The sequence below is a fragment of the Homo sapiens genome, chromosome 16 (genome assembly GCF_000001405.40).
Source record: "Homo sapiens chromosome 16, GRCh38.p14 Primary Assembly".
Taxonomy (NCBI): domain Eukaryota; kingdom Metazoa; phylum Chordata; class Mammalia; order Primates; family Hominidae; genus Homo; species Homo sapiens.
The window spans coordinates 52787147-52799964 of record NC_000016.10 but is presented as its reverse complement, the minus strand read 5'-3'; the positions used below and the strand labels follow the sequence as shown (position 1 = coordinate 52799964).

The 12818-nt window shown below is 41.4% G+C and overlaps 2 annotated features.

The window, feature by feature from the left end:
• Positions 411–936: an enhancer, noted in NCBI's record as "OCT4-NANOG hESC enhancer chr16:52832941-52833466 (GRCh37/hg19 assembly coordinates)". NCBI's record gives its function as "activates a minimal SCP1, AML or CMV promoter by ChIP-STARR-seq in primed H9 embryonic stem cells {active_cell/tissue: H9 hESC(primed)}" and the evidence as "EXISTENCE:reporter gene assay evidence [ECO:0000049][PMID:30033119]".
• Positions 1068–2267: an enhancer, noted in NCBI's record as "CDK7 strongly-dependent group 2 enhancer chr16:52831610-52832809 (GRCh37/hg19 assembly coordinates)". NCBI's record gives its function as "activates an origin of replication core promoter dependent on BRD2, BRD4, P300/CBP, MED14 and CDK7 cofactors, with strong dependence on CDK7, by STARR-seq in HCT116 cells {active_cell/tissue: HCT116}" and the evidence as "EXISTENCE:reporter gene assay evidence [ECO:0000049][PMID:35650434]".

Below are 12818 nucleotides of genomic sequence, written 5' to 3'. Positions count from 1 at the left end.
TCTTGTCTCACAGTTCTAGAGGTTAGATGTTCAAGAGCAAAGTGTTGGCATGGTTGGTTCCTTCTGAGGTCTGTGAGGGAAGGGTTTCTTCCAGGCCTCTCTCTTTAGCTTGTAGATGGCTGCCATCTCCCTGTGTCTTCACATCATTTTCCCTCTCCACGTGTCTGTGTCCAATTTTTCTCTTCAGAAAGGACACCCGCCATATTGGATTGCAGCCCGCCCTAATGACCTCATTTTAACTTTATTGCCTCTGTAAAGACCCTATCTCCACATAAAGTCACACTCTGAGGTAGTAGGGATTAGGACTTTAACATATTAATTTTGGGAAGACACAAGTCAACCCATCACAGTATTCATGTGACACCGTTCTGACCAATGAGGCATAAGGGGAATGATGTGTCTGGAGGGATTTTCCTGCCCTGGTTATAGAGAGAGACGCAGAAAGAAAGGGCCTATTCTATTCTTGCCTCGGAGGTTGTAATGTTAGGTTGTAACACCTGGGGTTATAGCAGCCATCTTGTGATCATGAGGTAATAAGCTGAAGGTTGAAAATCTACACATGGAGGATAGTGGAATAAAAGAATGGAAAAAATGAAAAGAATGTGGATTCCCTGAGGTAGTGGTGAATCAACTCAGGAATACTTAGCTCCAAACTTAAATCTGTGAGATAATTGAATGCTTTGTTATTTAAACTACTGTTATTTGTTACTCTTCCTCCTTGAGGCAGAACTCTCCCCAGAACCAATAAAATCCTCAGAGTCTTATGTTACCATGCTCACAGATTATTAATTATCCAAGGTGTAAATATCTGATATCAAAGCCGATGGTGAAATTTCAAGATTATCCCATTGGGTTATTTCTTCTACCTCATCTAATATGCAAGTCTCTCTGACAACTGAATCAGTGGCAGAATAAACTCATGACTAGAATCTCCCTTGCATTAGATCCTCCCACCCCTGGAAAGTGCAGCCCATGTCTTGGCCACTTTTCTCACCCTTAAGCAGAGACGTGGGAGATACAGACACAAAGTCCCAAAGGAAGTGTGGGTATGAGGCAGGAACATAAGGCAGCCAGCTTCCAAATTAGGCTTTCTTCTTCTTTTACGTTTTACTTAATTTTAATTATTTATTCCAATTATTATGCTTTCCTATAGGGAAGACCTGATCAAAGTTCATTGTTGGATCAAGGAAGAAAGAGATGAATAAAAGGATTAAAATCATTCTGGGGATAGTAAAGTACCCAACTCCTAGGGTGTTATGAAGCTTAAATTAATGAATACATGTAAAGTGCTCAGTACAGTGCTGGGCACATAGCAATGCCATGCCAACACTGTTATGTAAGTATTAACAATGAATTTGCAGTTTATCAGCTTATCATGTTGTCGATTGCTTATATGCTTAAGGGATGGCCAAGACATTTCCATCTGGTAATTCATAATAGTGAAGAATAGTGGTTCCCAAATTTGGCATGCGTCAGAATCAGCACAAACCAGGGTGCTGCTCAGCGCTACTGAATCAGAACTCGGAGGCTTAAGGCTCCAAAACTCTACATTTATTTTTTTAGATTGCTCCCCACATGATTCTAATGAAGCCAGGCTTAAACTGTATCCAGCGGCTCATTTTTGTTTACTGGGTCTTACCTGTAGTGCCAGTGGGCCAGGCATCATGGAAAACACTGTCAAGATCCTTTAACCTAGGCCCTTATTTTGTAAATGGGAAGGCTGGAGGCCAGAGATGGTGAATGGCTTACTGAAGTTTCACAGTTAGTGGCAGAGATGGGGCTAAGATTCTTACCCCCAACCTTCCTTTTGAACTTCTTTTTCAGGCTTTTATCCCCTACTAAGCTATATAAATTGCAGGGTGAGTCACCTTTTTTTTTTTTTTGACAGAGTCTTGCTCTGTCGCCCAGGCTGGAGTGCAGTGGTGCAGTCTCCGCTCAGTGCAACCTCTGCCTCCCAGGTTCAAATGATTCTCCTGCCTCAGCCTCCCAAGTAGCTGGGACTATAAGCGTGCACCACCACACCCAGCTAATTTTTATATTTTTAAAGAGATGGGGCTTCACCTTGTTGGCTAGGCTGGTCTTGAACTCCTGACCTCAGGTGATTCGTCTGCCTCAGCCTTCCAAAGAACTGGGATTATAGGCGTGAGCCACCATGCCCTGCTACCTCTCTTCTTTGTATTCCTTCTGCTAACATGGTGTCCAGAACAGAGCAGGACTCTAACACATATGTTTGATGGTGAACAAACTGTGCTGAAACCATCTTCTTCTAGTGTTCTGACTCATCCACCTAGAAGAGCTCAGTTGGTGGCAAGTGGAGAGTTATATCCTCTGTACCAATGGGGAATCTGGTGGGGGCTCAGGCAGACAGGGAAAAGGGAAGGTTGGGCCCTCTGTAATGTGCAGACTGATTGCTCATGGCTTTGGGGATTGTCATCAATGGAAATTTTTACTTTAGACTCCTGGTAGCAGTATTCCTACCAACAACCTCATCTTGGCCAAGATGCTTTCAGTTTAAGGTTACAGAAACCTGTTTGAGCTTACTTTAGTAGTAAGAAGGATCTACTGAAAGGAGAGTAGCATATCTCATGGAGCATATCTCAAGGGCCTCAGGGTAGACCAAGTCCAGGAATTGGAAAACCACTGTGGTCTCAGGCAGCCTCTCCTCCTGTTCTCACATCTCTATTCTTCTTTCTCTGCTTCTCCAGCTGCAGACTCCAACATGATCAGGCCATAATTCCTAATATTTCCTATTCTCCACAAATTCTTTAGTTCTAGGCATAGGCAGAGCTTGTCTCTAGCTGCCTCTTGGTCACAGGTCCAACTTTTTGGGAAAGGGGATCTATGTGGCCCAAGTAGGACCAAGGGTTCTTGTATGGTTGAATTAACCATGGTCAGGGACCCAGAGGTCACAGAATACCAATATGAATGTTAGGATAGCTATGATCAAAGTATAGTTTTTGTAGATAGCAGGGTGTGTATGTGGTGTGAGTTGGTAACTCTCTAAACAGTATCCATAAATGGTATGTTTGTTAACTTTACCATGAAAACAAATAACCTCCACATCTCAATGACTTACAACAGCAAACATTTATATCTCACTTTACATGCTCTGTATAGCAGCTCTGTGCCATGTGTCTTCTTAGCTAGGACTCAGGTGGAACCTAATAATTTAGGAAATACCTTTCTTATCATAAAGAGAAAAGAACAAGAGGCAGGGCCAAAGTGTGTACTTGCTTCAGAACTTCTCCTTGGATGTGGCCTGGCTCATGTCTGCTCACAGTTCATTGCAAAGCAGTTCCATGGCCAAGCCTGACAATGGGACAAGAAGTGCCCACCACCTCCAGCAAGACTCTAGAAGTCACTTGCCAAAGGGCAGCCAGTGAGGGTCTTGTAACAGGGAAGGACACAGGCAAATGTGAACAATTCCCCAGTCTGCCACAACAGGGTTTAATGGTGGCAGCAATAACTGACCTTTAACAAAGGCTTAAAATGTGCTAGGCACTGGGCTAAGAGCTTTATGCAAATTTTCTCATTTAATTATCCCAATAATCTTGTGAGATAACCACTATTATCCTCATGTTACAGATGAGAAAATTGAAGCTTAGAGAGGTTAAACAGCTTGTCCTCTGCTACATAGCCTGTAAGTGGGATTTCCAGGATTCATACCAAGGTACCCCAGGGAATGCCACTTGTATCAGTTTCCTATAGCTGTTGTAACAAATTTCCACAAATGTAGTGCATTAAAACAACACAATCTGTTATCTTACAGCTCTGTAGGACAGAAGTCTGGCCCTGGTCTCACTGGGCTAAAATGAAGTTGTCAGCAAAAGATGCATTCCTTTCTGGAGCTTCTAGGGAGAATCTATTTCGTTTGCCTTTTCTATTTCTTGATGCATGGCCCCTTCCTCTGTCTTCAAAATCAGCAACAGTGGATTGAGTCCTTCTCACGTAGTGTCAGTCCAGCCCTGCTTTGGTATCATATCTTCTCTGACTCTCCTCTTGCCTTCCTTCTTCCACTTTTAAGGACCCCTATGATTACACTGGACCCACCCAAATAATCCAGAATAATTTCTCCATATCTAGGTCCTTAATCACATCTGCAAAGTCCCTTTTGTCTTGTAAGGGAACATATTTGTAGGTTCTCAGGATTAGGATGTGGATATCTCTGGGGGACCATTATTCTGCCTACACATCCTTCTGTTTTTGGGGATGTGTGTGGCCTCCAAGATACTCCTGAAAAAAGGGCAAAGATAACCAAAACCCCTTTCACTCTTGTACCCTGGTTTTTCGGTGAATCAAGATCAGTGGTAGTTATGAACAAATTAGGAAAGAGAGAAAATAATTCAGGGGATAAATTTAGAGCTCCAAGTTGATCATATATTTGTTAGTTGTGAAGGAGAGAGCCTATTGCTGGCTCTTAAAGTAGAAAAACTAAAGAATTTCAGTACCAGTGTTCCCGGCATGATGCCATAATTAATATATGGTAACAATATTACTAGGAACAAAAACATACAATTATCCCCTTAAAAATGTCAACATGAAAAGTAAATTTAATAAAAGATAGGCATGGGAACATATATAACAAAGATTATCTTTAATAACGAAATTATTTATGATCAAACATTTTTACTTAATTTCAGTTCAATTCCAAAATAGTCACAGTAGTGTCATGATTAAATATTAATGCTAACAGAAACAACCTAATTGGGAGGTTATTAAAACTTCAAATTAAGTTTCTTTTTCTTTTCCTAACCAAAAACTTCTGCCTAGAAGGGCATCAGGGGAATTCCAGCACATGTGTTTTGTTAACATTGATTTGCTGCGCTGAGAGAGGGGCTAGTCAGAAGAGATTCACTCTGAATTTCTAGGCAATATTTAATAAGACACTTTCTGTCTCTTCTTTGAGTAATTAGAGGGGTGATTGCTGCTCTGGCCTTTGTTGGTGCAGAGCTGGCTGACTACTTGGGACATTACAAGTTATACCTTGCTGCCTAGTAAATCACCCCAAAACTCGGAAGAACCATTTTATTCTGGACAGTTCAGCAATTTGGGCTAGGCTTCTTCTGGCCCCATCTGGAGTCACTTTTGGTTGCTCCATTGGAGCTGGATGAGTAAGATGGCCTAACTCACATGTCTGATGGTTGGTGTTGGCTGTCACCTAGGTGACTTGTCTCCAAAATGCTAGCCTGGGCTTTTTTACATGGTGGCTGGAGTCCAAAAACAGCAAAGGAGAGAGAGTAAGCCCCAGTTTGCATGTGCCATTCAAACTTTTCCCTGTGGCATGTTTGCTGAAGTCTCATTGGCTAGAGGAAGTCACATGACTAAGATGCCAGTCATTGTGGGAGGGAACTATACACAGAAATAGATACAGGGAGGCAGGATTCATGGGGGCCATATTGTATGCATCTTCCACACCAGGGATTACCTAGCACACAGTTTAGCATTCCACAGAGAAAAGGACACAGGAATGGGGAATATGAAATTTTTACCCTATGAGTCCCGATGGGGTGGTTGTCCTTAAGAAGGGGGCCACACCTATTTCAGTCCTTCAATGGCAAGTTCCCTGTAAAATTCCTCTTGGCTTCTCAAATGCTTTGGGCAGAAATGAAGAGCAGGTATTTAGTGACATAAATCCTTTACTTTTCATCACAATCCAAGATACATGTAATGTCCATTCCACTTGACCTTATCCTATACTGAGCAGCCCCCCAAGAATTTATGTCACTCTCTTACAGTGGCAGAGCCCAGAATCAAATTATGCTTCTTCACAAAGGAGTGCATGCATTTCTGTGCATCCAGGTGAACTTTTACAGATGTTCTCACTACTTATGCTATTGATTACTAAAAGAGGATTGTTGGAATCTCCACCTACAATTGTGAATTTGTCTATTTCTCTTTTTAGTTCTGTCACTTCCTGCTTCACACATTTTGAAGTTCTGTTATTGGGCATATACATTTAGGAGTGTTAGATTTTCTTGGTGACTTACTTTTTTATCATTAGCTATTATAATATCTGTAATAATACTAAATATATGATTAGAAATTCCTGGTATGTTCTAAACTCTACTTAGTCTGATATTAATAAAATCACTGAAGCTTTCATCTGATTAGTGTTTTAAGATATATTTTCCCTAGGCTTTTAACCTATCATGTTCATTTTCTCTGGCTGCTTTTGAGGCCTTTTTTTATCTAATCATTGGCTTTCAGTAATTTATACTATGCTTGGTGCACTTTTCTTAATGTTCATTCTGTGTCTGTTCATGAACTTCCTGAATCTGTGGGTTTATAGACCTCTGGATGAATTTTCTGTCTCTGTCAACCATTTTAAATTGATGGCCAACAAACAAGTCATAAACAAGTTTTGAATTTTTCAAGACAAAAATGAGTAGAATATTAATTCACCAATTCTAGTTGGGTCAGAAACAACCAGTTTGATATAATCCAGGAAGGCTTCAACTGATCTAGGGATAAAAAATATGTCAGGAGTCAGGATATCTGTTCTTGCTTTACATCTGACATTAATGTGCTGTGTAAACTTGGGAAAGTCACTTTACCTTCAGTGCCTCAGTTTTTCTGCCTTGAAAATGAGGGGTTTGGGTCCTTTGAAGCTCCTTCCAACTGCTGCATTTCAGTATTCTATAACTTAATGCAGCTTTCTCAAAAAATGCTCCAGAAAACACAAGTCTTATGTAATGATTTGGAGGAAAAGGGCCTTTCTGTTTAAAAATGTCTGGGAAAATTTGCAAACTATTATATTTCTTAAAGTGCAAAATGACATTAAATAAAAACATGTAATTGCTTTTCTTTTTTAACAAATGAATTTAAATTTTTAAAAATAGGTTTAGGGCATACAGGTGTAGTTTTGTTACATGGATATATTGTGTAGCAATGAGGTCTGGGCTTTTGGTGTACCCATATATTAGTCCGTTCTCATGCTGCTATAAAGAAATACCCAAGACTGGATAATTTATAAAGGGAAGAGGCTTAATTGATTCACAGTTCCCCACAGCTAGGGAGGCCTCAGAAAACTTACAATTCTTGCATAAAGGGAAGCAAACATGTCCTTCTTCACTTTGCGGCAGAAGAGAAAAGTGGTGAGTGAAGGGAAAAGCCACTCATAAAAGCATCAGACCTCATGAGAACTAACTCCCTATCATGAGAACAGCATTGGGAAAACTACCCCCATGATTCAATTATCTCCACCTGGTCCTGCCTTTGACAAGTGGGGATTATTACAATGCAAGGTGAGATTTGGGCAGGGGCTAGTGGGGGGGGGCCCAAACCATGTAATTCCACTCCTGGCCCCTCCCAAATCTCATATCTTCACATTTCCAAACACAATCACACCCTTTCAACAGTCCTCCAAAGTCTTAACTCATTCCAGCATTAACCCAAAAGTCCAAGTCCAAAGTTTCATCAGAGACAAGGCAGGTCCCTTTCACCTATGAGCCTGTAAAATCAAAAACAAGTTATTCACCTCCTAGATATAATGTGCACACAGGCATTGGGTAAATACACCTGTTCTAAATAAGAGGAATTGGCCAAAACAAAGGGGCTACAGGCTCCATGCAAGTCCAAAATTCAATAAGGCAGTCATTAAAACTTGAAGTTCCAAAATGATTTCCTTTGACTCCATGTCTCACATCCAGGTCACATTGATGCAAGAGGTGGGCTCCCATGGCCTTGGGCAGCTCTGCCCCTATGGCTTTGCAGGGTACAGCCCCACTCCTGGCTGCCTTCCATGGCTGGCGTTGAATGTTTTTGGCTTTTCCAGGTGCATGGTGCAAGCTCTTGTTGGATCTACCATTCTGGGGCCTGGAGGATGGTAGCCCTTTTCTCACAGTTCCACTAGGCAGTGCCCCAGTGGGGACTCTGTCTGGGGGCTCCAACCCCACATTTCCCTGCTGCATTGCCCTAGCAGAGGTTCTCATGAGGGCTCTGCCCCTGCAGCCTGGATATCCAGGCATTTCCACACATCCTCTGAAATCTAGGTGTTGGTTCCCAAACCTCAGTTCTTGATTTCTGTGCATCTACAGGCCCAACACCACGTGGAAGCTGCCAAGGCTTGGGGCTTGCACCCTCTGAAGCAGTAGCCCAAGCTGTACCTTGTCCCCTTTTAGCCACGACTGGAGCTGAAGCAGCTGGGATGCGGGGCACCATGTCCCAAGGCTGCATAGAGTAGGGGGGCCCTGGGCCTGGCCCAGGAAACCACTTTTTCCTCCTAGGCTTCTGGGCCTGTGATGCAAGGGGCTGCCGCAAAGGTCTCTGACATGCCCTGGAGACATTTTCCCCATTGTCTTGGTGATTAACATTCAGCTCCTCGTGACTTATGCAAATTTCTGCAGCTGACTTGAATTTCTCCCCAGAAAATGGGTTTTTCTTTTCTATGGCTTCATCAGGCTGCAAGTTTTCCAAACTTTTATGCTCTGCTTCCTTTTGAACGCTTTGCTGCTTAGAAATTTCTTCCACCAGATGCCCTAACTCCTCTCTCTCAAGTTCAAAGTTCCATAGATCTCTAGGGCAGAGGCAAAATGCCACCAGTCTTTTTGCTAAAGCATAGCAAGAGTCACCTTTACTCCAGTTCCTCATCTCCATCTGAGACCACCTCAGTCTGAACTTCATCGTCCATATCACTATCAGCATTTTGGTCAAAGCCATTCAACAAGTCTCTAGGAAGTTCCAAACTTACCTACATTTTTCTGTCTTCTTCTGAGTCCTCCAAACCGTTCCAACCTCTGCCTGTTATCCAGTTCCAAGGTTGCTTCCACATTTTCGGGTATCTTTACAGCAGCACCCCACTACCCGGTACCAATTTATTGTATTAGTCCATTCTCATGTTGCTATAAAGAAAAACTTGAGACTGGGTATTTTATAAAGGAAAAAGGTTTAATTGACTCATAGTTCTGCATAGCTGATGAGGCCTCAGGAAACTTACAATCATGGCAGAAAGGAAAGCAAACACATCCTTCCTTACATGGCAATAGGAGAGAAAAGTGCCAAGCAAAGGGGGAAGCCCATTATAAAACCATAGGATCTCGTGAGAAGTAACTCACTATCATGAGAACAGCATGGGGGAAAATGCCCCCATGATTCAATTATCTCCACCTGGTCCTGCCCTTGACACATGGGGATTATTACAATTCGAGGTGAGATTTGGGTGGGGACACAGAACCAAACTATATCAACCCATCACTGGAATAGTGTACATTGTACCCAACAGATAATTTTTCATCCCTCACCCTCCACCTTCCCTCCTATCTTTTGGATTCTCCAGTGTCTATTACTCCACTCTCTGGGTCCATGTGTATCCATTGTTTAGCTCCCACTTATGAGTGAGACATACCATTATTTTATGTTCCACTAAGAAAGACAAACCACTACCAACTAAACCAAGAAACAACTCTTTCTTAGCACTTGGAATTTTTATTTTATACTTATTGTAAATTTTATAATCTTTGTGTAGACTTAGATTTTTATCATAATCACTCTTGTGCATACTTAAAGAAGAAAATTAAAGCAAGTTAAATTGCTTAGGTTTCCTTAAACTTCATGTGAGTTCAATTCTTGAGCATCATTTTTTGATTCTGAGTCATTGATGTTTATGTTTTCCCACATGTTATCTTCCTGTATGTCATCAAGGGTTTGGGTAATAAAATATTTCTTAAAAACATGCTCCACTATTGTGTCTGGGGTTTCTGTCCAAGCCATTGACGCCTACAGTGCAAGTTTCTATGCACATTCAGACACAGCTGTTTTCTGGCCTACTACAATTGTAATATACATTCAGATTTTGGAAATGTTAAAATGCAAAAAAAAAGGCACTTTGTAGTGAGAGCAATATGACATAATCCCTTCTTAGATATGCATAATGCATGATGCATATTTTAGGCTTCGATATACTTTATTTAACTGTGTTTATCTCCATGTTTCCCAGACTTAATTGACCCTGGAATCTAGGCCCATTTCTAATATTATCAGGACCCTGACAAGAGTATAAATGGAGGCCCATTCACCATATAGCTAAAATAGTTATAAATTAAGCTAACAAACTATTATGTAAAATATGCTAAATAAAAGGCATGGAATCAACCCAGATGCCCATCAATGGTGGACTAGGTGCAGAAAATGTGCATATACCCCATGGAATACTATGCAGCCATAAAAAGAATGAAATCCTGTCATTTGCAGCAATAGGGGTACAGCTGGAGGCCATTATTCTAAGCGAATTAACACAGGAACAGAAAACCAAATACCACATGTTCTCACTTATAAATGGGAGCCAAACATTGGGTACTCATATACATGAAGATGGGAGCAATAGACACTGGGGTCTAGCAGAGGGGAGAGGTAGAGAGTCAAAGCAAAGGTTGAAAAACTACCTATTGGGTAATATGCTCACTACCTGCAAGATGGGATCAATTGTACCCCAAAGCTCAGCATCACGCAATGCATCCAGGTAACAAACCTGCACATATACACCCAGAATCTAAAATAAAAGTTTAAATTACTTTAAAAAATTAAAAAACGTGAAATCCTTCTATGTTAACAAATATATCTTCCTAACCTGTAAAGCCAGGTTTGAATTTAGAGTTCTTGAATGCCTTAGACTTCTGCATTGGGAAAGCTATTTCTGGGCCCCCAGTGTGGTCTGTCTTTCCTCTCATACCACCCTGGTTGTATTTATTTCTACAAGAAGCCTCTGGAATAAATGTATGGACACTCCAGTCACACATCCATATGTGAGCTTCTTCCATAGGAGATTGGGGGCTACTTAGGTATGCAAAGTGTGGGTTAGAAGAAGCGGTGTGTGGGTTCTGAGCACACATGTCCCCTTCTTTCCTTTCCCACTCTCACCTATCCTCAACGTTTTTAAAAACCTCTCCTTTAGTTAATTAATGACATCCAATTTTGATATAACACCTTTCCTTCCTCCAAAGGGATTCATATTCTTTCCTCTCTGTAACATCCTTATGAGGAACTGGGGGCAGTAATTAGTATCTTCTTTTAAGAATTGAGGAAACAGTAACACGGAGTAGTAAAATGACTGGTTCATGTCACTGAGAGAAGTTGCCACGTTGGATGAGACATCCTGATGAAGTCTTATCGTGGGCCAAGACACTGACCCCTTCCCAAGCATCCTGCCATCCACCCAGGCCCTGAAGATTGATGACATTGTTAAGCCTTGAGCCCACCAACCAAGAGAAGACATCAGTTAGGTCTTACCTGTTAAGAGCATGATTGCACGTAATAATGAATTTCTGTGACAAGTCCCTGATTGTAAGGTGTGGGCAGGGAAATGTTGCATGGTAAGATGGTGCAGTGGTTAGAGGTCAAAGACAAGCAAGGACCTAAAAAAATACTAGTAGATCAGCAAAAACCCCTAACTTAAGTGCTCTCTGCCCAAATCTGTTGTGCAACAACCTTGATGTAAATTTAAGTTAAGTGAAGGGAGTTTGTTTTATCATCTGCAAAAGTCTCTTGGCCCGCTGAGATGTGTGAAAAGTTGGGCTCTACCAGGAGATGAAATGCTGCATAGGTGGACCAATGCCACTCTGCAGAGCATGGCCCAGTAGAATAGCATTTTGTGTGTGTGTGTGTGTGTGTGTGTGTGTGTGTGTGTGTGTGTGTATTCTCTCAACAGGTGTCAAAAATAAGCACCTTATTTACAAGTGCAAATCCCCTCCCTCCTTTCAAGGGAAGCTCTTAATTCTATCAAATTCCTTCCTCTTTTCTAGAACTCTGTGCTCAGATTTATCTCCTAGATGAGAAGCAGAAGTCGGTCTTTGGACGCCAACTTGCAATTCTCTTTCTCTGTTTGGAGTTTGACCATGAGGGTGAACATTCCCAGGCTACACTCCCTGCTGTGTTCATTTAGATTGACAACACTTGGAAAGCCCTTCCATTTATCAAAAGATTTGGAAAGCAAGATTCCCCTTTCAGGGGCTTTACGTGCCTTCCACTACAGCTCTGTAGTTCAGGCCAGCTCCTCTCACCCCCATTGCAACAGGAGACTGAAGAATGCTAATTTCTTTTCTGTGTGGTACTTAAAATTCTAACTCTGAGCCAGTCCACATCACAACCAGACTAGTTATTAGACTGGTGTGAGTAACACCCAGGTTTCATCATATCTCTGTGAACGGTGGTGTATTAATTAGGGTCTCTAACGTTGTTGTGAGAATTCTAAAGCACAATTAGTATTAATAGCTGCTCTAATTGACAAGAGCACTTTTGTTGCTTCTTTAAAATGCCTTGTTCCTTCCATTGAAAGCCACAACACATGTATGTGTAATCAGGGGACAGAGGACTAGTGTAATTAGAGCGGCAGGTTACAGGTCTAGCTTTCAAATTATGACCTGGAGTTAACACTGACTTTATCCTGCAGTCCCTAATCTAGTATTATTATTCACATGACTATAACCATCCTTAAGATTATGCAGATGTTCTATAGGACTGATATTTACTTTAAATATCTGTCAAATATCAAAGAGCTAGAAGAGAGGTTATAATGCAATTTGTGCTTATGAAGAGGTAGGTGCCCAAGGCCAGAGGTGTTATTTATCATTTGATTTTGACACTAGTTTTATGAATAGTAATAAGAATGCCATTCCCAGGGAAAACACCATTCACAGGGGAAAAGTCGATAGTAAGCACATGCTTGATGTTGCAGGAGTCCCTGTTTTTTCCTTTCACGTTAAAAAATAATGAGTCAGTGGTCACTTTCTTTTATGACCCAGCTGTATTCAAATGCCCAATGAAATGGTTTCACATCCTTGTTGTTGTTGAGTTCGTGTCTTTTTGTGTGTGAGTACAAAGAAAAT